The sequence below is a fragment of the Homo sapiens genome, chromosome 12 (assembly GCF_000001405.40).
Source record: "Homo sapiens chromosome 12, GRCh38.p14 Primary Assembly".
Lineage (NCBI taxonomy): Eukaryota > Metazoa > Chordata > Mammalia > Primates > Hominidae > Homo > Homo sapiens.
This window is the reverse complement of record NC_000012.12, coordinates 99,668,365-99,696,067: the sequence shown is the minus strand read 5'-3', so window position 1 is coordinate 99,696,067 and position 27,703 is coordinate 99,668,365. Positions and strand designations below refer to the sequence as shown.

The window sequence follows — 27,703 nt, the reverse complement described above, 5'->3', positions numbered from 1 at the left end:
CAGGTTTGTTACATGGGTATGTTGTGCTTTGCTGAGTTTTGGGGTACAAGTGATCCCTCCACCCAGGTAGTGAGCATAGTGCCCAGTAGGTAGTTTTTAAATGCTTGCTCCCCTTCCACCCTCCGCGCTCTAGTAGTCCCCAGTGTCTATTGTTACCATCTTTTAAAAAAGTTTTATTTTATTTTAAGTTCTGGGATACATGTGCAGGATGTGCAGGTTTGTTACATAGGTAAACATATGCCATGGTGGTTTGCTGTACCTATCAACCCATCACCTGGGTATTAAGCCCTGCATGCATTAGCTCTTTATCATGATGCTCTGTCTCCCCCAACCCTCCCCCGACAGGCCCCAGTGAGTGTTGTTCCCCTCCCTGTGTCCGTGTATTCTCATTGTTCAGCTCCTATTTGTAAGTGAGAACATGCGGTGTTTGGTTTATTATGAATCTAATTTTAAGTGGCATATCTTATTTAGGCCAGGTAGACCCTTTAAAAAAATCTGAATCTTTCATTAGTGAGGCACCACCATGCATAAGACAGTGATAGCAATGAATTCTGGCTGGAACTTCTCAGGAGAAAAGAATCAATAGCCAATGTAGTTTAATGGATTTTTCTCTACATGTTTTTGCAGTGCACATTAGACTGTGAGCACTGATGACTACCACTACGTTCAGTGGGAGTTTTGTCTTTATGAGATATCTGTTCTACTGCAGAAGCAAGTGCATATTAAAATTTGATTTAATCAGTAAATATTAAATTAGAAGAAAAGAGGAAGTGAGTTTGAAGTTTTGCTATATTTGTATCTAGCCATGCATAACACTTTGACCACATCAGATAACAAAACAAAAGCTGATTTTAGTAATTTGTTAAAACGTCAACTTCTATAGGCTACTTCTGAATTTAGGGATTTCCTGATAATAAATAATTTATGTAAACCTTACTTTTTTGATTATAAACAGAGCTCATTTGTTAAGCACAGAAGCACTATTTCCCCCCCACTTTGAGATATTCCTAGTAACAAAAGTTTGAAAGCAAACAGTTTGCTTTGTAAAGACCCTGTTCCTTTAATTTCAGAGCTTTCTAAGTATGCATTCCAAGGACAAAACTAAGATTAATGAGTGGAAGTTTGGGAGAGGCAGGTTTTAGCTTAATATATGAAAGCTGTTCCACTGTACTTGCCTTGAGAAAGCATGAGCTTCTTAGTGGACATTTTCAAGCTGAAGCATAGATTTCCCAGAGATGCTGAAGAAAGAAGTTTGGCACTAGGAATAGGTTGAGCAAAATAACATGTAAGATCTTTTTATGGTCTAAAATTCTATGGATTAAAAATTAATTATTAATTTTTGGTATGTGTTTGTTGAAAACCATTAACTCTTTACAATTTTAGTCTTAAAATTGTTACTTTATGTTTCACTAGACATGGATAATTCTGTAGGTCTTAATATAATTATGCTCTTATTATTTTAAGATATTACATTTATGATGCTTTGGTCAGCTGAGGTTTTATTTATCTTTTACAGTATCATGTTTAATGTCATTACTTTTTGTTGAAACTCCATATAGAAATATTACAGATGGTTGGAAAATAGAGGGTAAGTCCATCCATAGTCTGACAATTCTTTTTTTTTTTTTTTAGATGAAGTCTCACTCTGTCACCCAGGCTGGAGTGTAGTGGCATGATCTCAGCTTACTGCAACCTCCACCTCCCGGGTTCAAGCGATTCTTCTGCCTCAGACTCCTGAGTAGCTGGGATTACAGGTACCTACCACTGTGCCTAGCTAATTTTTGTATTTTTAATAGAGGCAGGGTTTCACCATGTTGGCCAGGCTGGTCTCGAACTCCTGACCACACACAGTGATCTGCCCACCTCAGCCTCCCAAAGTGCTGGGATTACAGGTGTGAGCCACCGTGCCCATCTCATAGTCTGACAATTCTAATGCTTTTATAGAAAATTATTGGTACTCACAACTTTGAATAAAAATGTCCAAAAAAGGGCTGGGCATGGTGGCTCACGCCTGTAATCCCAGCACTTTGGGAGGCTGAGGTGGGCAGATCATGAGGTCAGAAGTTCGAGACCAGCCTGGCCAAAATAGTGAAACCATGTCTCTACTAAAAATACAAAAACTAGCCAGGCATGTTGGCACGCATCTGTAGTCCTAGCTACTCGGGAGGCTGAGGCAGGAGAATGGCGTGAACCCGGGAGGCAGAGCTTGCAGTGAGCTGAGATCGCGCCACTGCACTCCAGCCTGGGTGACAGAGCGAGATTCCATCTCAAAAAAAAAAAAAAAAAGTCCAAAAAATATTTGTTGAAAGACCAGTGTGTAGGAACCAGTCATTTAACTTATGAATAACTCTGGATGCCTGGTATCTTCTCTCAATGTAGTTGTTTATTTTTTAACATTCATTTTGCCATCATGTATATGATGACTATCCTGAACTGGCTAAAGTTTTGGCTTTATTTAGCATTAAAATTCAGTTAGGTAGAATCAGATAAGGTCAGCTTTAATTTTATTGCAATAGTATGCTGGATACCAATGTACTTTCTAAAAACATGCTGTGATATATCCCATCTTACCGCCAACCATACAAAACAAAATCTCTTGACCCCAGCTGTCACAACACAATAGCTTCAATCTCTGAACCCTTTCACAGTGACATATTTTGAAAGAGATATCTACTGTCATTATTGTTTCTGGTTTTTTTACACTTAGATTTTGTCCTGTCTCTGCTTTAATGGGCAGTCCATCACAACCAGTACTCCAACAGTTCTTTTGTTAAGTCTACCATTTAAATATCCATGATTATGAATCCAATGATCACTTCTCTGACCTAATGTATTTTATTTTTTTCCTTTCAGCATTATTTGATAAAGTGTGATTGTTTTCTCTTTCTTGAAATACATTCTTCTGTTTGTTTAAATGACTTTATACTATTTTTCCTTATTCTTCCCTCCTTGACTGCTCTTTTTAAGTCTCCTTTGCAAACTCCTCTTCCTCTGCTGTACCTCAAATATGTCAGTTGTATTTTCCAGGGATTAGGCACAGAAAACCTTGTATTTTCAATTAACACACTTGCCCAAAGTAATACATCCAGTACTTTTGCTTTACATACTGCCTACATGCCAATGACTCTGTTACTTCTAGTTCTGAATTGTGCCTGCAGTTTGAGACATGTATAACCATCTGCTAACCTGATATCACCATTCAGGTGATGAGTAGGCAGTTAAAACAACTTATCCGAAGTAGAACACATGCTTTTCCCCATCCCGTCATTCCAACTGGTTCCTCCCATAGACTTCCCCTGCTTAATAAACGACAACCCACCATCAGCTTAGTTCGTCAAGTCAAAAACTTAAAGTCATCCCTGATTCATTTCTTTTTCTTTTCCTTTTTTTTTTTTTTTTGACAGAATCTTGCTCTGTCACCCAGGCTGGAGTGCAGTGGTGCGATCTCAGCTTGCTGCAACCTCTGCCTCCTGGGTTTAAGCAATTCTCCTGCTTCAGCCTCCAGAGTAGCTGGGACCACAGGCATGCACCACCATGCCCAGCTAATTTTTGTATTTTTAGTAGAGACAGGATTTCACCATGTTGCCCAGGCTGGTCTTGAACTCCTGACCTCAAGTGATCCTCCCACCTCAGCCTCCCAAAGTGCTGGGATTACAGGCATGAGCCACTGCGCTGGGCCTCATCTCTTTTTCTTACCCTCAACCTGATCCATTAATAATTCCTGTTAACTCCACTTTAAAAAATATGACCGCTATCTGACCACATCTAACTTCTTTTGCCACTATCCCAGCCTTCTTCAATTCTCACCGGATTATTGTAACAGCCTTCTAACTAGTCTCATTCCTTCTTCTGTTATTCCCCTCCTACAATCCATTTTACTCACAGCATCCAGAATGTTCTTTAAAAATTGCCAATCAGGTTCTTCCCATGCTTAAATCTCAGTGATGACTTTCTTATATACTTAACAAGCAAAATTATAAAAAACTTCCCACTTTTAACAACAAATTTTCACAGAATTTGACTCTCATCTATCTCGCCAACCTAATCTCCTAACAATTTATCCCATTTTTTATCTTAAAATGCCCACCATACCCCAGTTGTACTGGCTTTTGTTGTTCTTGCCTCTTAAACATATTCCATGAGTTTTCTATTGCTGTGTAACAGATTACTACACACTTCATGATTTAAAAAACACCCATTTGTTATCTCAGTTTCTGTGTGTCAGGAGTTCAGGCATAGCTTAACTGGGTCCTAAATTGGTACTGAGAGTGGGGCACTGCTACAAGGATACTTGAAAATTTGGACGCAACTTTGGAACTTTGGCAGAGGTTGGAACAGTTTGGAGGGCTCAGAAGACTGGAAAATGTGGGAAAGTTTGGAACTTCCTAGAGACTTATTGAATGGCTTTGATCAAAATGCTCATAGTGATATGGACAATGAAATCCAGGCTGAGGTGGTCTCAGATGGAGATGAGGAATTTGTTGAGAACTAGAGTAAAGGTCACTCTTGCTATGCTTTAGCAAAGAGACTGGCAGCATTTTGCTCCTGCCCTAGAGATCTGTGGAACTTTGAACTTGAGAAAGATGATTTAGGGTATCTGATGGAAGAAATTTCTAAGCAGCAAAGTGTTCAAGAGGAAGTAGAGCATAAAAGTTTGAAAAATTTGCAGCCTGACAATGCAATAGAAAAGAAAAACCATTTGCTGGGGAGAAATTCAAGCCTGATGCAGAAATTTGCATACGTAGTGAGGAGCTGAATGTCAGTCACTAACACAATGGGGAGGAAGTCTCCAGGGCATATCAGAGACGTTCATAGAAGGCCCTCCCATCACAGGTCCAGAGGCCTGGGAGGAAGTATGGTTTTGTAGGGTGGGCTCAGGGCCCTCCTGCTCTGTGCAGCCTTGGAACATGGTGCCTTGCATCGCAGCTGCTTCAGCTCCAGCCATGGCTAAAAGGGGCAAAGGTACAGCTTGGTCCATTGCTTCAGAGGGTGCAAGCCCCAAGCCTTGGTGTCTTCCACATAGTGTTGAGCCTATGGGTGCACAGAAGTCAAGAATTGAGGTTTGAGAATCTCTGCATAGATTTCAGAGGATGTAGGGAAATGCCTGGATGTCCATGCAGAAGTTTGCTACAGGGGCAGAGCCCTTATGAAGACCCTCTGCTAGGTCAGTAGGGAAGGAAAATGTGGGGTTGAAGCCTCCACACAGAGTTCCCACTGGGGCAGTGCCTAGTGGAGCTGCAAGAAGAGGGTCACCATCCTCCAAACCTCGGAATCATAGATCCACTTACAGCTTGCACTGTGCACCTGGAAAACCGGCAGACACTCAACACCAGCCTGTGGAAGCAGCCAGTATGGGGGCTGTACCCTGCAGAGCCACAGGGGTGGAGCTGCCTAAGGCCATGGGAGACCACCTCTTGCATCAGTGTGACCCAGATGTGAGACGTGGAGTCAAAAGGAGATTATTTTGGAACTTTAAGATTTGATTGCCCCATTGGATTTCAGACTTGCATGGGGCCTGTAGCTCCTTTTTCTCCCATTTGGAATGGCTATATTTACCCAATGTGTGTGCCCTCATTGTATCTAGGAAGTAACTAACTTGCTTTCGATTTTACAGGCTTATAGGTGGAAGGGACTTGCCTTGTCTCAGATGAGACTTTGGACTGTGGACTTTTCAATTAGTGCTGAAATGAGTTAAGACTTTAGGGTACTGTTGGGAAGGCATGATTGGTTTTGAAGTGTGAAAAGACATGAGATTTGGGAGGGGCCAGGGGTGGAATGATATAATTTGCCTCTGTGTCCCCATCCAGATCTCACCTTGAATTTTAATCCCCATAATCCCCATGAGTGAAGATTGGGACCAGGTGGAGGTAATTAGATTATGGCGGCGGTTTCCCCTATGCTGTTCTCATGATAGTGAGTGAGTTCTCATGAGATCTGATGGCTTTTTAAGCATCTGGCATTTCCCTGCTTGCACTCACTCTGTCCTGCCGCCCTGTGAAGAAAGTGCCAGCTTCTCCTTTGCCTTCCACCATGATTGTAAGTTTCCTGAGGCCTCCCTAGCAATGGGGAACTGTGAGGCAATTAAACCTCTTTCCTTTATAAATTATCGATTCTTGGGTATTTCTTGATAGCATTGTGAGAATGGACTAATAACAGGTCCTCTGTACATGGTCTCACAAGGCTGCAATCAAGTTGTCTTTTAAGACTGTGGTCTCCTCTGAAGTTCAGTTGTTCTCTGCCAGGCTCATGTGTTTTTGGTTAAATTCACTTCTGAGGTTGTAGAACTGAGGCCTCTATTGTCTTGTAGACTATTGGAGGAGAGTTGCTTTCAACTTGAGGCTGGTCTCAGATTCTAGCCACATGGCTGTCTCAGTGCATGACTGCTAACTTTCTTAAAGCCAGCAGATGAATTTTTCTGACCTCAGGTGAGCAGACCTGATCCTTACCTGATCAGGTCTGGCTCAGCCAGGATACTCTCCCTTTTGATTAACTTGAGCTAACCCAGCTTGATTACATCTACATAACTTCTTTGGCCAGGTAACATAACATAATCACAAGAGTGATGTTGCATATTATTCACAGATTGAGCTGACATGTGAGGGGAGGATTAATATACAGGGTGTGTAAATCAGAGAGTAGGAATCTTAGAGCCATCTTAAAATTCTGCCTGCCACACGCACTAAGCTTACTCTTGTATTCTTCTTTGCATTATTTGATCCCTCTGCCTGGTTCTTAATCTCTACATGGCTGGCTCTAATTGTTAGCCTGGTTTCATCTTAAAAGAGATCTTCTTAGAGAGATTTGTCTTAACAATCCAGTCTAATTATTAGGAATTCAAACATGAATAAGACATGTTTTGTGTTTTAAATAGAATAATCTAGTGGTAGAGTGAAAGATGGATTTGAATAGTTTAAAACTAGAAACCAAAATATCAAATAGGGGATATTTACAATAGTGTAATGTAGGAACATTGAAGATGAGGAAGTAGAGGATTGTGAATTGGGGGAAGAAAATTTCTTCAGTTTGAGGAAAATTTGAATTGAGATGATTTTAGGGCTAAAAAGTCTAAATAACTAGTCCAAGATCACATAGGTAATTTTTTTATACACAATGGAACCCTTAAAATATATTACTTGTAAGAAATTCACAACTTTTGTAACTTGCATTTTCTCTCTTTTTTTTTTTTTAAATTTAGCACTTGCTCATGTAATTATTATTATTATTTTAGAGACAGTATCTCAGTCTGTCACCCAGGCTGGATTGTGATGGTGCAATCATAGCTCACTGCAGCCTTGGACTCCTGGGCTCAAGCAATCCTTCCACCTCAGCCTTCTAAGTAGTTCTAAGTAGTTTGGACTACAGGTGTGCACCACTATACTTGGCTATGTTTTTTTCTAGAGACCAAGTCTTGTTATGTTGCCCAGGCTGGTCTCGAACTCCTGGCCTCAAGTGATCTTCCCACTTCAGCCTCTTAAAGTGCTAGGATTACAGGCTTGAGACACAGTCCTTGGTGCCTTTTTTCTTTATATTGATATTTTCCGAAAACGATCAGTCTCTCATCAAGAGGCATTTGTTATTTTGGGAATATCCTTTCCACTGTAAAGAACTAGAAAAATGGACACAGTATATAAAACAGATGTTTTCAGTTGTTGGCCATTAGGCGATACATGTCTGTAAATTCTGAGATAAGAGAAACAAATGAGGTGAGCCTTACAATTACCCACCTATGTGTTTGAAGGTGGTTTATAGACTACAAAGCAGGGAGAGAGTTCTTGATGAGGAGACAGAGTTTAGATTTCAGGTAGCTTGAATTTGCTAGGATTTGTAGCTCAGGGTATTGGAGAGGTGGGAACTGCACACAGTGAGGCTGGGGAAGGACCCACTGAAAAGCAATACTCAGCGGTTCTCAGAGCTCCCACAGAGTGGGGAATGTTTTATATTCCCAACAGTGAAAAGAAGAGACCTAAATTGTAAGATACAAGGCACTGGAAGAGTACTCAGAAGAGTCTCTCCTTAATAATGGGGATAATGTGGCCTTGAAAAAAGATTGTTCTGGAATTATCCTAACAAAGTTTAAAGGAAGCCTCAAAGTAATGAAACTGATCTGCATATTAATTAACTATGTCCTGGTTATAAAGAATATAACAAAATCTGGCACCTAACAATGTAAAATTCACAATGTTCACCAAACAGTAAAAAATTATTTTGTGTGTAAAGAAGCCATAACCTGGAGAAAAATAAATAAATCAGTAGAAACAGAGACAATAGATTTAGCAGCAAAGCTGTTTACAAAATAGCTGTTATATTATGTATATATAAAACAGTGTTATAAAATGCTCAAGCACATAAAGGGATACATGAGCATGAGGAGAGAAGTGTAAGAAAAAAATGACTCAAGTGGAACTTCTGGAGATAATGAATATGATAGCTGAAATGAAAAGTGTACTAGATGAGATTAATAACAGAGATAGGACTGAAGCAGAAAAGATTAGTGAACTTGAGGATCTAGCAATAGAAACTAAAATGAAGTACAGAAAGAAGAAGGATTGAAAAAAAATAGAACAGAGCATCAGTGAGCAGTGACCAACTCAGCCACTAAGCTATGTGTAACTGACATCCTGAAAGGGAGGGAAGAAAGTAGAAAAATTAGTTGAGAAAATAATGTTTGAAAATTTTCAACATTTGATGGAAACTCTAAGCCCACAGATCCAATAAGTTGAATAAACTGTATGCAAAATAAACTTAAAGGAGCCACATTGAGTCATATTTAAAATAAAATTATTGAAAATCAGTGATGTAAAGAAGAATCCTAAAAGCAGCCAGAGAAAAAAGGTATATTACTTACCAGAGTACTATGTATAAAAGAATAAAACCAGACTTTTTCTTATAAACTCTGTGAGTCTGAAGTGATGAAATGATATCTTTAAAACACTAAAAGAAAAAACTATCAAGTTATAATTTTATTTGCATTTAAATTATATTTCATAAGTGAAGGTAGGGTAAAAGCTTTTCAGACAAACACAGACAGAATTCACTGTAAACACATCTTTCTCATAGAAAGATTAAAGGAAGTTATCCAGGCAAAAGGCAAAAATGATATCAGATGGAAAGTTTGCTCTACCAAAAAATGAAAGGTTCCACAATGATAAATAGGTGCATAAATGTAAGAGAAATTTGTCTCATTGTTTTTAATCTTCTTAAAGGAGATTAAAATCTTCTGTGTACAGTAAAAATAATAAAATGTATTGTGTGATTTCTAACATGTACACTTAAAATATATGGCAACAACAGCACAAAAATGATAGGAGGAAATGAAAGTATACTGTTCTAAGGTTTTCATAGTATGTGTGAAGTGGTTTGAGTTACTTAAAATGCTTTTTAGAGTAATTTTTAAATAATGTAAATGAACCCTTACATGTCTATAATTGTCATACTTATTTTCTTACATGTGAGTGATATCTTGCTTGGTAATAGGATTCTTGATTCATAGTTTTATTACAAGAAAAACTTAAGACAATTTAAATTTAATGTAGCTTAATTGAACAAAGACCAATTCAGGAATCAGGCAGCACTCAGAACCAGAAGAGGTTCAGAGAGCTCTGCCCAGCAGCATGAGCAGTGAGCTTTTATTGGTTCAACATGGAAGCAAAGTCGAGAAACCATCTGATTGGCTACAATGAGGTATTTATATTATTTGGGCATAGTGTGATAAGGCTTTTGCCTTATTTGGGCATGTTGTGAAAAGCTGGCTGCCTATAATTGACTGAAACCTGGCTGCTTGTGATTAGCTGAAACTTGGCTGTTATACTCCTAAGTTACATTTTGGTTTGTTTACATACCAAATTAGGTTATGGTTCATCATGTAGCAACTCATAGTGCAGAGACAGCCTCTGACTAATGGTCTTCTGCTTATTTTTAAAATTACTATTATTTTATGTATTATTTCAATAGCTTTTTGGGAAATAGGTGTTTGCTTACATGGATAAGTTCTTTAGTGGTGATTTGTGAGATTTTGGTGCACCTATCATCCAAACAGTGTACACTGTACCCAATGCATAGTCTTTTATCTTTCAATCCCCACCCCTTACCCTGGAGTCCCCAAAGTCCATTGTATCATTCTTATGCCTTTGTATCTTCATAGCTTAGCTCCCATTTGTAAGTGAGAACATACAATGTTTGGTTTCCATTTCTGAGTTACTTCACTCAAGGTAATGGTCTCCAACTCCATCCAGGTTGCTGTGAATTCCATTATTTCATTCCTTTTTATGGCTGAGTAGTATTCCATTGTGTATATATGTGTGTGTGTGTATATATATATATGTATACACACACACACACATAAACACACCCCACGTTTTCTTTATCCACTTGTTGATTGATGGGCATTTGGGCTGGTTCCATATTTTTGCAATTGCCAGTTGTGCTGCTATAAACATGCATGTGCAAATGTCTTTTTCATATAATGACTTCTTTTTCACGGGGTAGATACCCAGAAGTGGGATTGCTGGATCAAACGGTAGATCTACTTTTAGTTCTTTAAGGACTTTCCACACTGTTTTCCATAGTAGCTGTACTAGCAGTTTCCACCAGCAGTGTAAAAGTGTTCCCTTTGTCACCACATCCATGCCAACATCTATTATGTTTTAATTTTTTAATTATGGCCATTCTTCTGGGAGTAAGGTGATATTGCATTGTGATTTTGGTTTATATTTCCCTGATCATTAGTGATGTTGAGCATTTTTCATATGTTTGTTGGTGATTTGTGTATCTTCTTTTGAGAATTGTCTATTCATGTCCTTAGCCCACTTTTTGATGGGACTGTTTGTTTTTTCCTGCTGATTTGTTTGAGTTCCTTGTAGATTCTGGATATTAGTCCTTTGTTTATATAGTTAGATGCATAGTTTGTGATGATTTTCTCCCACTCTGTGGGTTGTCTGTTTACTCTGCTGATTATTTCTTTTGCTGTGCAGAAACTTTTTAGTTTGAGTCTTATCTATTTATCTCTGTTTTTGTTGCAGTTGCTTTTGGGTTCTTGTTCATGAATTCTTTGCCTAAGCCAATTTCTGGAAGGGTTTTTCCAGTATTATCTTCTAGAATTTTGATGGTTTCAGGTGTTAGATTTAAGTCTTTGATTCGTCTTGGGTTGATTTTTGTATAAGGTGAGAGATGAGGATCCAGTTTCATTCTTCTACATGTGGCTTGCCAATTATCCCAGCACTATTTGTTGAATAGGATATCTTTTCCCCACATTATATTTTTGTTTGCTTTGTTGAAGATCAAGCCGGCATGTATTTGGCTTTATTTCTGGGTTCTCTACTCTGTTCCATTGGCCTGTGTGCCTATTTTTAATACCTGTACCAAGCTGTTTTGGTGACTACAGATTTATAGTATAGTTTGAAGTTAAGTAATGTGATGCTTCCAGATTTATTCTTTTGGAGTAGTCTTGCTCTGGCTATGCAGGCTCTTTTTTGACTCCATATAAATTTTAGGATTGTTTTTTCTAGTTTGGTGAATTTGTAGATTTGTCATTTTTACAATATTGATACTACCCATTCATGAGCATGTGATGTATTTCCAGTTGTTTGTGTCATCTATGATTTCTTTCAGCAGTGTTTTGTAGTTTTCCTTGTAGAGATCTTTCACCTCTTTGGTTAGATGTATTCCTAAGTATTTCTTTTTCCCTTTTTTTTTTTTTTTTTGCAGCTGTTGTAAAAGGAGTTGAGTTCTTGATTTGATTCTCAGCTTGGTCACTGTTGGTGTATAGCAGTGCTACTGATTTGTATATATTGATTTTGTCACTTGATCCTTTGCTGAATTCATTTTTTCAGTTCTAGGAGCTTTTTGGATCAGTCTTTATACTTTTCTAGGTATATGATCATATCATTGGTGACCAGTGACAGTTTGACTTCTTCTTTACTGAGTTGGATACCCTTTATTTCTGTGCCTTGTCTGATTGCTCTGGCTAGGATTTCTAGTACTATGTTGAATAGAATTGGTGAGAGTGGGCATCCTTGTGTTATCCCAGGTCTCAGGGGGAATGCTCTCACTTTTTCCCCATTCAGTATAATATTGGCTGTGGGTTTGTCTTAGATGGATTTTATTACCTTAAGATATGTCCCTTCTATGCCAATTTTACTGAGGATTTTAACCATAAAGGGATACTGGATTTTGTCAAATGCTTTTTCTGTGTCTATTGAGATGATGTTTTTAATTCTGTTTATATGATGTATCACATTTATTTGTGTATGTTGAACCATCCCTGCATCCCTGGTATGAAACCCACTTGATCATGGTGGATTACCTTTTTGATGTGCTTTTGGATTCAGTTAACTAGTATTTTGTTGAGGATTTTTGCATCTATGTTCATAAGGGATATTGGTTTTTTGTTTTCTTTTGTTTCAAATACCCTTTTCTGGTTTTGGTATTAGGGTGATACTGGCTTCATAGAATGATTTAGGGAGGATTCCCTGTTTATCTTTTGGAATAATGTTAATAGGATTGGTACCAGTTTTTCCTTGAATGTCTGATAGAATTCAGCGGTGAATTCCTCTGGTCCTGGAACATCTTTTGTTTGCGATTTGTTATTATCATTTTAATCTCACTGCTTGTTATTGATCTGCTCAGAGTTTCTATTGCTTCCTGGTTTAATCTAGGATGGTTGTATATTTCCAGGAATTTATCTATCTCCTCTAGGTTTTTCTACTTTGTGAGCATATAGGTGTTCAAGTAGTCTTGAATGATCTTTTCTATTTCTGTGATATCTATTGTAATATCTCCCATTTCATTTCTAATTGAGCTTATTTGGATATTCTCTCTTTTCTTGGTTAATCTCGCTGATATGATTTGGCTGTGTCCCCACCCAAATCTCATCTTGAATTGTAGCTTCCATAATTTCCACATGTTGTGGGAGGGACCCAGTAGGTGATAATTGAATAATGGGGGCAGTTTCTCTCATACTGTTCTCATGGTAGTGTATAAGTCTCACGAGACCTGGTGGTTACATAAGGGGAAACCCCTTTCACTTGATTCTCTTTCTCTCATGTCTGCTGCCATGTATGACGTGTATGTCACCTTCTGCCATGATTGTTAGGCCTCCCCAGTCAGATGAAACTGTGAGTCAATTAAACCTTTTTTTTTATTTTTTAATAAATTACCCATTCTCGGGTATGTCTTTATCAGCAGCATGAAAAGGGACTAATACACTCACTAATGATCTATTGATTTGTTTATCTTTTCCAAGAACCAGCTTTTCATGTCATTTATCTTTTGTATTTTTGTTGTTGTTGTTTCAATATCAATTAGTTCTACTCTGATCTTGGTTATTTCTTTTCTTCTGCTGGGTTTGGGTTTGGCTTGTTCTTCTTTCTCTAGTTCCTTGAAGTGTGACCTTAGATTGTCTATATGTGCTCTTTCAGACTCTTTGATGTAGGCATTTAATGCTATGAACTTTCCTTTTAGCACCACTTTTGCTGTATCCCAGAGGTTTGATAGGATGTGTCACTATTATTGTTCAGTTCGAAGAATTTTTAAATTTCCATTTTGATTTCATTGTTGACCCAATGATTATTCAGGAGTAGATTATTTCATTTCCATGTATTTCCATGGTTTTGAAGGTTCCTTTTGTTCCAATTTTATTGCACTGTGGTATGAGAGAGCACTTGATATAATTTCAGTTTTGTTAAATTTATTGAGCTTTGTTTTGTGGCCTATCATATATGGTCTATCTTGGAAAATGTTCCATGTGATGATGGATAGAATGTATATTCTGCAGTTGTTGGATAGAAAATGTTCTGCAAATATCTGTTAAGTCCATTTATTATAGGATATAGTTTAAGTTCATTGTTTCTTTGTTGACTTTCTAACTTGATGACCTGTCTAGTGCTGTCAGTGGAGTATTGAAGTCCTCCACTAATATTGTGTTGCTGTCTGTCTCATTTCTTAGGTCTAGTAGTAATTGCTTTATAAATTTGGGAACTTCTGCATATATATTTTGGATTGTGATATTTTCCTGTTGGACTAGTCCTTTTATCATTACATAATGTCCCTCTTTGTTTTTTAAAACTTTTGTTGCTTCAAAGTCTGTTTTACCTTATGTAAGAATAGCTACTCCTGCTCGCTTTTGGTGTCTGTTTGCATGGAATATCTCTTTCCACCCCTTTTCCTTAAGTTTATGTGAGTCCTTATGTGTTAGGTGACCTTCTGAATTATTTTCCTGGCAATTGAGAGATTTCTTCTTGATTTGGATCCATTGCTGATGAGCTAATGTGATCTTTGGGGGTGTTAATGGTCCTTGTTTTGTCATATTAGCAGAGTTGTCTTTTTGGTTTCTTCTCATTTGGGTAGAATATGTCAGAGGAATGATCTGGGGCTAAAGAGCTGCTATTCAGATTCTTTTGTCCCACAGGGTGCTCTCTTGATGTGGTGTTCTTCCCCTTCCTCTAGGAATGGGGCTTCCTGACAGCCTGACTGCTGTGATTGTTATTTCTCTTCTGGGTCTAGCCACCCAGTGGAGCTACTTGGCTCTGGGCTGGTACTGGGGAGTGTCTGCAAAGAGTCCTGTGATGTGATCCATTTTCAGTTCTCTCAGCTGTGGATACCAGCAGCTACTCCAGTGGAGGTAGCAGAGGGGTGAAGTGGACTCCGTGAGTGTCCTTGGTTGTAATTTTGTTTATTGTTCTGGTTTTCTCAATGCTAGTTGTGTTAGCAGTGAAGTTGTCACATGGACAGACTCAGGACCTCTGGTTAGCTAGGATGCTACAGGCAGTGGAATTAGCTGTTGTTTTCTTCTTCTTTGGAGTGGGTTTGTTCTTTTATGAGTTGCTGTAATGGCTTGAGTTGGTTGGCCTCTAGCCAGGAGGTGGCACTTTCAGGAGAGATCAACTGCATAGTATAGGGGTATACAAGCTTGCTTTAAGGTTGCCTGGATAAGTACTCAGGATTCTCAGGTGATGAGTGGGGCCATGGAGCTCCCAAGAGATTATGTCTTTTGTCTTTGGCTACCAGGGCAGGTGGAGAAAAATCATCAAGTGGAGGCCGGGTTAGGTGTGTCTGAGCTCAGACTCTCCTTGGGCAGGACTTGCTATGGCTTCTGTGGGGGATGGGATTGTGGTTCTCAGGCCAATGGAGTTATGTTCTTAGGGGGATTATGGCTGCCTCTCGTACATTATACAGGTCACCAGGGAAGTGGGGAAAAGCTGGCAGTGACGGGCCTCACTCAGCTCCCATGCAGCCAGTAAGGCTAGTCTAACTCTTACCACGCCCCTCCAATAGCACTGAGTTTATATACAGGGAGCCTGTGAGCAGTACTGAGATCTTGTACCAGGCTACAAGCCTACCCACTAAGAGCTGAGAAAGCAAGCAGGGATTTCAGGCTTCACCCCTCCCTGCCTGCCGCAGTTTCTGTGTTTATGTCCACACTTCCTATTCTCCCCCTCCCCCGATTCTGCCCAGGAAAATTCATGCTTGGTCAAAATTATTACAGAAGTTCAGCTGGAAGTTTCTTTCTCCCTGTGGTCCTTCCCCAGTTCCACTTGCAGCCCTCCCACAGACCCCTGTGAGATAAAGTCAGAAATGGCTCCCCTGAGACTGCCTACAGGGCTCTTCCTGCTGCTGCTTCTTCTTCCTTTTTTTTTTTGACAGAGTCTTAACAGACAGCCTGGTGTGCAGTGGCGTGATCGTGGCTCACTGCAACCTCTGCCTCCTGGGCTCAGGTGATCCTCGCACCTCAGCCTCCCAGCCAGCTGGGATTATAGGCATGTGCCACCATGGCTGGCTAGGTTTTGTATTTTTAGTAGAGGCGGGGTTTTGCCATGTTGGCCAGGCTGGTCTTGAACTTTTGGCCTCGAGTGATCCACCCACCTTCGTCTCCCAAAGTGCTGGGATTACAGGCATGGGCCACCATACCTGGCCTGCTTCTTCTACTTTTGTATTTTGCTTGGCTGTCTAAATTTGTTTCAGCTCTAGATAAGTTTAAATCCTTCTCCCGTGGTCTGGATTTTCAGGTTCCCCAAGGAGGATGTGTGTTTGGAGGCAGATTTTCCCCTTTCACACTTTTCAAGACATTTTTTCAACTGTCTCACAGAGTTTGCAGTAACAAGGTGCTTCTTTCAAAGGATCTGTGAATTCTTTCAGTTTTTCTGGTATGTTCCTATGGCAGTTCTTGGAGCAAAAGTTTACAATGTGAGTCTCCACATGCTGTTCTCTCCATCCGAGTGGGTGCTGCAAGTTAGTCCTGACTCCTGTCTGCCATTTCCCATATTTAGGCAGGATTTCAAGTCCAGCTGCCTATTTTTAACAGTTATTTTCTTCCATAATCTACAATGGTTGGTCTATTGTGTTCTAACTTCTGATGTTACAGTTAAGAATTTGATAATAATTTGGTTCTTTTTTATTTGAAAATATCTGCTTTTCTCTTCCCTTGTTGAAACTGGTAATATTTCCAGTTCAATGTTAGAGTTCGGACAGTCATGGTAGCCCACACCTGTTATCCCAGCACTTTGGGAGGCCGAGGAGGGCGGATCACTTGAAGTCAGGAGTTTGAGACCAGCCTGGGCAACATAGTGAAACCCTATTTCTACAAAAAATAAAAAAAAATTATCTGGGTGTGTTGGTACATACCTGTAGTCCGAGGTACTTGGGAGGCTGAGGTGGGAGGATGGCTTGAGCCTGGGGGTGGAGGTTGCAGTGAGTCGAGATGGTGCCACTGCACTCCAGCCTGGGTGACCTAGCCAGACCCTGTCTCAAACAAAACAACAACAAAACTTTAGAGTTCAAAAATCATCAGATTATCTTTAAATACGTGCCATTTAAATTATTTAACAAGTGAGCTCTTTTAATCTGAGTGTAACTTCAGATGAGGAGAGCTTTTGTTTATTATTTCTTTGATCACATCTTCATTTGTTTTTATCCCATTATTCACCAACTTACAAATGTTTAATCTGTACTTGATACCTATCAGGGTTCATTTTTATTCTGTTTTCTTCACTTGATTTTCTAAAACACAAAATTACTTTTCTTCAGTGACGTTTTCATTTTCTCAACTGAACTTTAAAATTCAAGAGTTCTTTCTTTTAGTTCTAGACACTGTTTTTACACATTCTAATTTCATATTTATAAGAGATTATAGTACATTTTTCCCCATTTTTTTGTGTGTCCTCTGTTATTTTTACCTCTACTACTCTTGTTGATCATCTAAGTTTTCTTCTTTTAAGCCACTGTCTCATAAAATGGTTTGTTGATCCTTATTGTTCATATTAATGGGCATTCATATTATTGGACATGGGATCTGTCAACACCTGTACTGCTCAGGTTTTGGAGTCTCTAAGAAAATGGTAATTAAACAACAATAAATAATTAAATGGGAGTGTTTAGCTCCAGAGTGCTTTTAGTGAAATTTAGGCTTAGAAAAAGAGATTTTTTTTTAAGTTTGGTGCAATCAGGGATGGATTGTACTTAGCCCAGGGATGGATTGTACTTAGCCCAACACTACAGTGTAAAGGGACACTTGGGCTCTCTTAGTAAACAGGTAGGAGAATTTTCTCTCCTTGCTTGTGGTTATCCGGGAATCTGTGACATTTGTTCCAAGTTATGTAGGAGAAGTTAGCCTAGAAGGGGTTCTGACCACTGTCCAGTAAGTTTTAGGCCAGAATTATATCTTCATTTTTAGGACTTAAAATCTCAGATGATTCCAGGTTCTTTCTAGCCTCCAAGAGTACACTTAGTTATTTTCTAGGAAAAGTAGCCACACCAGGGACTTAGGAAGGAGAAGGAATAGAGAATACAGACACAGGCTGCCATCTTCCTGGAATCATGAAAACGATTTGTATCATTTTGTAATTTAACATTTATAGAACTATAGTCTTAGGGCTCTGTGGCAGTTCTTGGTAACAGTATGTACTCCACTCCTGTGTTAAGTAGAACAGTAAGTTCTCAACATAGATTTTGTTCTATCTTATTTGGTTGTCTCTCGTAAGGTACACCACAACAGAGTAATGAATGGAGCATGCCAAATATTCTCCCTTATTGAAGTGTTGCAATTTTTGCCAAGACAGAGTTGTTTTAGTGGGTATCTTTTAACTGAAAAAAAATTTTTTTTTGAGACGGAGTCTTGCTCTGTTGTCCATGCTGGAATGCAGTGGTGCAGTCTCAGCTCACTGCAACCGCCACCTCCCACATTCAAGAGATTCTCCAGCCTCAGCCTCCCGAGTAGCTGGGACTACAGGCGCGTGCCACCACGCCCGGCTAATTTTTTGTATTTTTAGTAGAGACAGGGTTTCATGGTGTTAGCCAGGCTGGTCTCGATCTCCTGACCTCGTGATCTGCCAGCCTCAGCCTCCCAAAGTGCTGGGATTACAGGCGTGAGCCACTACAAACTGAACTTTATTTCTTTGGTGTATCCTTCTTAAAAAATGGAGAATTTATTCAGAATTACATAAGCAGCTGGAGATTTGACTGGGTCATTTTGATCACTAGTAGGAGTTAACTGCAATTCAACAGTGTTCTCAGCAGCAGACATTATTTTACTTCAAAGTCCTAGTAGTTTTAAAAGAGAATCTAATTACAAGATATTTTCTGAAAAGCATTTGGAAATTGTTTCCCACTTGTGCAGTTTTAAATAATCACATCCCTTTCCTCTCCTCCAAAAAAGTCCTCAACAAATCATATATTATTTAGGCTATATTATTTGCTACTTTCTTGAGCAGCCTTAAGGAAAAAAAACAAAAAAATAAAAAAACAAACAGTTTGGAGGAGGGGCAAGTGGTACTGCTTTTAAGATCTAAGTCATGTCAATTTTGTAATGGTGCATGGCCCTCCTGATCACACCTCTGTGGAGCAGGACCTAGAAACGGAGATGAGGCCAGAAACTAGAAATTAGGTCTAGGCTATGAAAGATGTAGGAGCGCAAAAGTGTACTTAGAAGAAAGCTAAAGATTCACTTTTATAAGCCCTTTGAAATATTTTGAAAACTTTTTGTTAAAGAACCTATTACATTAAAATTAGAAATAGGTGTTATTAATCTGAATACATGAAATATTGAGTTTGCTTTCATTTATTTGGGATATATGTCAGTAAGAATAAAGATATATACCTCAACTCTTCCTGTGTGTTCTACTGTGTCTCACAACACATTCTCCTTCTTCCTACTCCATTCCTCCCTTTTAAAATCTAATTTATTTGTATCACTTTATAATTTAACATTTATAGAACAATAGTCTTAGGGATCTGTGGTAGTTCTTGCCAACAGTAAGTACTCCACTTTTCTACTTGTTTTCCAGATTTTGACTTCACAGTAGCTGTATGAAACTTGGAGATATATTTAGTAATCATGTTATTTTAACATTTCTGGAAGCAAAGGCCTAAAAAGAAACAAGAAGCAAGCATGCATTTCATAAGCTCAAGTTAGAAAAGACTTAATGGAATATTTCAAATTGAAAACCATTTACTTTATTTATTTTAATACATGTCATGAAATTAAGTCCTACTTATTTTTATAAATTATTTGGCAATTAGAAAGTGTGAAGATAGGAAAATTCTGTAATTTGCAGTTAAATTCTTAGGATTGCCTCTGCATTCTGATGAACATTTCAACAAATCACTTAGTATTATGGGATTCTAAATGGAGGAATAATCTTCCATTTTTCTTTAAAAAGCTTGTTTTTTCTTATTATAGACAATTTGGAAAATAGGATATGTATGAATAATGAAAATTCACCTGTCATACAGAGATGTGTTTTAATATATTTTATCTTAGTTTTTATATATGCGAGTGTATTAGTCTATGCTCACAATGCTATCAAGACATACCCAAGACTGGGTAGTTTATGATGAAAAGAGGTTTAATTGACTCACAGTTCCACAGGGCTGGGGAAGCCTCAGGAAACTTAAAACAATGGCAGAAGGGGAAGCAAACATGTCCTTCTTCACATGGCAGCAGGAAGGAGAAGTGCCAAGCAAAGGGGGAAAAACCCCTTATGAAACCATCAGAACTCACTCACTATCACAAAAAACTGCATGAGGGTATCTGCCCCCATGAGTCAATTACCTCCCACTGGGTCCCTCCAAAGACATGTGGGGATTACAGGTAGTACAATTCAAGATGAGATTTGAGTGGGGACAAAGCCAAACCCTATCACAAGTCACTATAAAAATGAAACAGAATCATGCTGTGCATTTTATTTCTTAATTTTCATGAAAATTTTCCCATGCCAATAACATTTTATGAAATTTTACTTATAGTAATAATATCCTAATATATAAAAGTATACACACAGAGGTAGCACAATTTAATTATTTTCTATGGTTAAACATTTAGATTGTTTATACATTTATTTTATTATATATAATATGATGATAAATATCCTTGAGTAAAAAATCTTTGTGCACATCTACCTTTTTTTGGGTTAGATTGGTAGAGGTGAAATAACTTCATTGACACATATAACATCAGTAATATTTGATTATAAAAGCATTCTGAATTGATCATTGAAAGTTTGCAAAATTCAGAAAAGTATTAAAAAATTTAAATAGGCCATTATTTCACTATTTAAAGATAAATTTTATTAAAAAACATTTAAAACTGGAATTTATCCTCCTAGGGTTTATTATACTACTTTTTAAAACAGTGCAACATATTAAAATAATAAAATGACAATTTTTCATATTACTAAATATTTTCTGAGAATATGATTTTAAAGATCTTTAAATATTTTCTTACATAGATATACTCTAATTTATTTAACAGTGTTTTTCAGTTAAATATTAAGTGTTTTCAATTATTTGCTTTTATATCAATGGAATAATGAATATCATTACACATACATATAACATTTATTCTCTTAGTATAGATAACTAGAAGTGGAATTTCTGAAAGAGAAGAAACTTTTTAAAGATTCTTTACACATACTACCAACTTATCCTTCAAAATATTTTTGTTAATTTACATTCCCAATGCAAAGCCCCTCACCAAACATTATGGTTTGAAAACATGCCAGTTTGATTGATAAAACATGTTATCTCCTTGCTATTTGAGTTTTAATTGCTATAAATACTAAAGTAGTTAAACATATTTTGTATGATCAGTGGTCAATTGTACTACTTTTAAAATGATCTTTTCAAGTCTTTTGTATGCTTTTCATTTACCGTGCTATTTTTCTTACTGGTATATAGAGTCTTTGCATATTAAGGATATTATTATTTTGTTGTATTTATTGTAAATAATTTTCCAAAGTTTTCACGTGTTTTAGAATTTTAGTATTAATGTTCAAATACAGGGGTTAATTTTTTTAATGAAATGAAGTCTATAAATCATTTCTTCTATTATATTTACTACTATTTATAGTAGAAATGCCTTTAAAAGAAAATGCCTATTTTTTCCCACAGAAGACTTCAATTCGCATGTTTTGTTTTCAGACACATAAACTCATTTCCCATCATAGTTTATTGAGTAATCCACTTATTTTTTATAAACTTTGGTGCTTCTTTTTCATGTGTTTTTATAATAAAGATTATATATTCAGTTCTGAACTAGAACTATTTACTCTATTATTCTTGCACAAGTCCTGTAGTGTTTTACTTTTCATAGTACTTATATTCTTTGTCATACATTTCCTTAGCTCTTCTCTTCTTTCTTTTATTTTATAGCGGTTTTTAAATTCATATTGCCATCTTTCCTTGCAGGTCCAGCTAGGATTAATTTATTACTTTAACCATTTATTGGAAAGTATTTATTGTTAAACAAATGTGTGTTATGTACAGTTCTAGTCTTAGATATAATAAAATATGACAAAGTTTCAGCCCTCACTTTATGTATAACTTATATAAAGCATCCATAAATTATTATAATCCCCAATACACTTTTATTTGAGGAAGATTTGCCATCTTTGAAAAGTTCAGCTTTCTCAAACATTATTATGACATTTTTCTCCATTTAAATTAATTTTCCTTTGTCTCTTGACATGTATTTCTTTATTTCATAATTAGTTTTATTTCCCTAGGGCACCAACGTTTCTTATTTAAGGTTATTGTTAGTTGTTTTAATTTTTGATTTTTAAATTTTTTGACTCATGTTCTTTTCCTGTTGTATATTCTAGAAGTCTTTGCTTATAAATAGAAAGACTGTTGATTTTTATATTAATCTTGTAACTAGTTGCCATACTTTACCCTTCTAAATTATAATTTTGAGCTGATCTTGAGTTCTATAAATATGTAATTGTTTCACTGAAAATAATGACCATATTAATAACCATATTCTATAATTATATTAATAAATATTGTTATGCTTAAAACTTTGTATTTAATTTATTTCAATATTCATGAATTATACTTTATATGACATGTTGCACCTTTTTGATTCCTTAATTTGTCTCTTGGCAAGTTGTAATTTATTTTCAAATAGGATAAATGTATTATCTCAAGAATTATTCATGAGGACTGCATTATCTGTCTTGCTTTTAAACATAACCAGTAACTTTTCTTGGTATAAAATTCTTGAGTTATAACCTTGTACCTTGAGTAGTCTGTTGACATTTTATGTCATATAATGCTTATACTATTGTTTATATTGCATATGTTCCAAAAATATAAGGTCAACATAATATTTTTTCTTCTTGGCATAGATATGGTGGACTTCAGGATTTTTAAATTTTCTTTGTTTTCTGGATGTTTGGGATGTAAAAACAAAGTATCTGATTTACTTAACAGAGTCAGTTTCTATTATTTGCCTCTAAGAATCCTGGCTAGTACAGTAGGCAATCTGAGTGTTCATTCTGGAAGCTTGGATAGGTTATTCTTTTTCCTTGGAATTAAAAGATTTTGCCTGAGTATGTCTTGATATGATTATTTTCCAGTTCTTCCAGGCATTTGTTGTATACCTCATCTTTCTTGATTCTGGAAAGTTTTCTTCTATTATATTTTTGATTATTTCGTTTGTATTCTCTGCTCAGGCTTTTTCACCTAAGATTATATGGTCTTAGAATAGATCAGTGTTCTTGATTTCTTTGATACACCATGTTTTCTGACCTTTTTGAGGGTATGGATTTTGGTGAATGTCTCCAATTTGGCCACCAAAACACTAATTTGATTTTATGTAAAATCAGTTTGGCTTTTAGAGACAAAATAGTTTAAATTTCATAATGTATTCTTTTCTTATTTCAACCAGTTTTATTGTGTCTTTGGCTCAACATTAGCCTTTTCTTTTCTTATCATTTCCTGCTTATATTTCTGTGTTGAAGTTTCCCAAGAAAGTTTAACACCAAAGATTATTAAACTATGATAGGAGAGTAACTATAAATATGTAAAACAAACTATAAAGGTATTCTATGGCTGGGGGAGAGTATCCAAGGAAGGACAATCATGGAAGAGAGCACCTCTCCCTAAGGTTGGGATTCACACCTTACTGGAGAAGGTTTCTGTAGGTGCTGTCCACTGAATGATCTGTTTCTGCTTGACCAACATCACAGGAACTCAGAAGCTGGGGTGACCTTTCAGAATTGTTCTCAGTTTGGAGGAGGTAGCTGCACTTCTTCAACCAGTTATTAGCTGCAGGCTGCCACAGGAAGAGGTTTTGTCTTTATGCAATGACAGGATGGCATTCCCTGGTGATGTTGTAACTGACAGATTTAGTGGCACAGGGTCAGATATGTTTGGAGTAGTTCTGTTTGGTCAGAGTTACGTGTATTTGAAAGGGATTTTCAGATATGGAAATCCATAGATGAAGAGTAGAAAAATTCCTTTTCTTGAAGATGAAATTAGTTCACCATTAGGAAGATCAAAGTGAAGAAATGGGGAATGAATTAACAGTAAACCTGGTAAGTCAGAAGTTGCTGATGTCTTTGATTGTCCTGGGTACCTCCTACTTCATTATCTCAGACAGAAGACTTATCCAGCATGGGTTTAATGCCTTGGCTAGATAGGATGTGGTTCAGGTATTCCAATTCTGGCATTTGAACCTGGGTCAGGGAGATTTAATTAAATGCTGACAAGATGGTGAGAATGTTGCATAGGTTGAAGGATATTGCCATGTTTTTGAACTTGTCTTGGTACATCTGAAAAATTCTTTTCCACTTAAAAAATTTTATCTCAAAAAAGAAAAGAGTTTTAAAATCACTCAGCATTGTTAATATGTTTATTAAAGATTATTTGGGGTGGGGGAGAAAACATCAGGTTTTATTTTCTTTGGCTAGCGTTAATTAATAAATTTTTCAACCAAAAAAAATTTACTGAATGCTATTGAGCATACAAAAGAAGCATTTTAAATTTGGCAATATCTGGAGTAGTACCACATACTACTTTATTTCTGCTACCTTGATTTAGTGTCGTGAACTAGAGTTAGTCAGTTCTAACAGACTTCTGATCTAACAGACTTAATGTCTAATTTATATTCATTTTATTTTCAATATAAAATGCTTCAGTCCTAAGTTTTGATGATTTATCATGACTTAGTTAATATACATTTTAATTATATACTTTTTCTCCCAAATTTTACTTTCATGTAACTGAACAACTGCTTTCCCAGAAAATGGCTTAAAATATGATAGAAATAATATGTATACAATATAAAGATGAGAAAAGACAGGGAATATATGTTGTATATTGAAAAGGATAAAATATTGCTATTTAATAATGGGGGTGTTTATCTTTTGATTGCGGGGCTGTTGAGAGACTTCTTCACATTTTTTTGATCAAACATGCCTATTAATTTCTGTTTCAGTCCAATATACACACACACATGCATACAAGTACATATTTACGTAAACATCAGCACTGAAAGCATTTCTATTTTATAGTCATCTAAGGACAAAATAGAACATGTGAAAGAGCAAGAGTTGTCTAATCAAAACGTATATACACATGATGTGCCCTGAACTGTGCTAGTCATCTTGCAGGATACACAAATAATAGAAAATATTGTTCTTGCAATTACAGAGATAAGATATACTTCATGCAATCTCCAGAAAATAGTTCAAAACAATAGATTGAGTTGTCCAAACATCTGAATTATGGGAATTTAGAGAAGAGAAACAGTCTCTGAATCCTTTTGTATCTAATACGTAGAAGCTTTCTATTTTTTGATCTCAGTAGAATAAGAAGTAGAAAATTGTGCCTTGACTAATGTTGAACTTGTTTTAAACTATCAGTTTTACATAATAGAGCCCTGATTTATTTTTCATGTACCATCTCCCCACCATGCCTTTCCTAATAGCTCATTTGCCAGACACAGCAAGCACATTCATACTGCCTTAATCATGCAAACTCTGTGCCTCATTCCCATCTCCCCTTTTCTCTGTCAGAATTCTTATCTCATGAGGTGCTTTTGCTCAAATGCAAACACTCTGTGAATTCTCTCCTCTACTTGCCCTGGTTGCTTCCTCTTTATGTTTTCTAATACCTTGTTTTAGTATCTCTGTAATGCTTATAATTTTGGTCTAGTTTTACTGTCTAGTTATGTATAGATATGTGTCTTTACACCTTGAGTTCAGAGTTTATGACATACTTATATTTTTCTTCCCTCATCCTAGAGTTCAGCCTTGTAGACAGTAGTTTTTAATCAATAAATATTTAATAAATTTAAATAAATTTATTTGAAATATTGGGCATAAACAATAATTTTTTAATTAAGTTAAGTAGCAATGAAATTATGCACACAGGAAGTTCAGGTTGGTTGTAAAAGGTATGTGTATTCACTGATGCAAAAAATTAATTGAATAACTCTCATATTACAGGTGAGATTGTTTTCCTAGGACCATCTATTTATTATGAATTAGGAAATTGGCAAGACAAGCATGATGATGGAAAGAAAAGACTAACTTTATGTGATAAATGTGCAGTTAACAGTGTGGAGGAAGAGAATATTAATATGTTTGAGGGATTTGTACAAAATAGAGGAAATGGGATTATTTAGCCGGTAAGAAGTGAAGAAAGGTCTAAAATGGAGAAACAGATATGAATAATACACGTCTTCTTTTAAAAAGTGTTTTTGTCAAACCTTTAAAGGTTTTGTCAAACTTCCATGAGGTAATAGGGTATGGAGTGGCTCCTTCTGAAAACTGCTGAATACTGGACAAAAATATGTCAAACATTCATGATCAGACCTGGATAAAAGACAGGACTGTGATCCCTAATAGAAAAGATACAAAGGAGGCAAACCCTACCATCACCCAGCTTTTTGCCTGAATCCAATTCCTAAATATGGTGCCAGGTAGAAAAACAGAAACAGGGTCAAGTAATCCTCTGAGTTGAAAGTACAGAAACTAGAGTTGGGGAAGGCTGAGTCAGCTAGAATTTTCAGGCAGAGGAACAGAAAAGAGGGTACTATACCAAAAAAGAGGTCCAGAAAACAACCTAAAGTTATCTTTGTATCTTCAGTTGAATATCAATCTGCACAAGAGTGAAACTTCATGAAGACAGAAAAAGAAAAACCTCCAAAGAAAGAACAATACTGGAGATACATAAACAGAAAAATCCCTGGAGCTCACACAAGGCCAACAATCATTCAAGTAACTACCAGCCCAAGTAGAGGGATCATGCTTAATACATGGCACATTCACTAGACATTCCAGAGGGAACGTAAGTCTTAACAGTGGGGTTAAGTTAGCTCCAGAGTAAAGGTTACTGTAGACCCACCTAAAAAAAAAAAGTAAAAGCAAGCCTTGAATGAATTAAACTGATCTCCAGATAACTTTACTCTATGCCACAACGATGTCCAGTAATTTTTAAAGAAATACAACTACACTCAGAGCCAAGTGTGGTGGGACATTCCTGTAGTCCCAGCTACTCAGGAGGCTGAGGCAAGAAGATCATTTGAGTGCAAGAAGTCAAGGCTGCAGTGAGCTATGATTGTATGACTGCACTCCAGCCTAGGTGACAGAGTGAGAAGCCTTCTCTTAAAAAAATTACTACACATGAAAATAAGGAAAATGAAAGTCATGAACATGCAAAAAATTAGTCAATAAAAATAGGCCTGGAATTACAGATTTGATAGAATTTGTATATGAGAGAATAAAATATTTGCTATAAATATGCTTGATATACTCAAAGGTTTAAAGGAAGAGGTGACATGAATAGAGAAATGTAGATATAAAAGAGTTCAAAGGAAACATCTAGAGATGAAAAAGACAGTATCTGAAATGAAAAATAAAGTAGATGCAATAAACAGCAGACTGTCATTGCAGAAGGAACGATTGGTGAAATGGAAAATATTGCAAATGAAAGTAGCCAAAATAAAATACAGAGAAAAAAATGACTAAAATAAATAACAGAGCCTGTGAAAAAATATCATGCAATGAAACATATGTGTAATTGGAGATTCAGAAGGAGAGGAGGGGTTAGGAATGAAAGAATAACAAAAAAAAATAACAAAAACAATGGCTGAAAAATTTCTAACTTGAATGAAAACACCAACCCAAGAAGCTCAACAAATGCAAAGCATGACAAAAACAAAGAAAACTAGACAAAGATACATCATAATCTAGTTGCTAAAGTCACAAAGAAACTTAGAAAATATTTTTAACTAAATGCAAATAAGAACCAAGAATATTAAACTTTGTAGGTAAAGCTAGTGCAGTGCTTAGGAGTCTCATAGAATTCAGTTCTTATATAGGAAAAGGAGAAAGGTCTTAAATGAAAGACCTAAGCTTCCACATTTAAAAAAAATGAGATAAAAGAGGAAATTAAACCCAAAGTGAGAATGATTAAAATCAATATCAGT

The 27,703-nt window shown here is 36.7% G+C and overlaps 1 protein-coding gene across 21 annotated transcripts in view, besides 2 other annotated features; it reads left to right on the top strand.

Moving 5' to 3' along the window:
• ANKS1B (ankyrin repeat and sterile alpha motif domain containing 1B) overlaps nt 1–27,703 on the top strand; it is a 1,250,151-nt gene that overhangs the window by 288,869 nt on the left and 933,579 nt on the right. The window lies entirely within an intron of this gene.
• Nucleotides 15,203–15,703: an enhancer, noted in NCBI's record as "H3K27ac hESC enhancer chr12:100074143-100074643 (GRCh37/hg19 assembly coordinates)". NCBI's record gives its function as "activates a minimal SCP1, AML or CMV promoter by ChIP-STARR-seq in naive H9 embryonic stem cells {active_cell/tissue: H9 hESC(naive)}" and the evidence as "EXISTENCE:reporter gene assay evidence [ECO:0000049][PMID:30033119]".
• Nucleotides 24,981–25,513: an enhancer, noted in NCBI's record as "OCT4-NANOG hESC enhancer chr12:100064333-100064865 (GRCh37/hg19 assembly coordinates)". NCBI's record gives its function as "activates a minimal SCP1, AML or CMV promoter by ChIP-STARR-seq in primed H9 embryonic stem cells {active_cell/tissue: H9 hESC(primed)}" and the evidence as "EXISTENCE:reporter gene assay evidence [ECO:0000049][PMID:30033119]".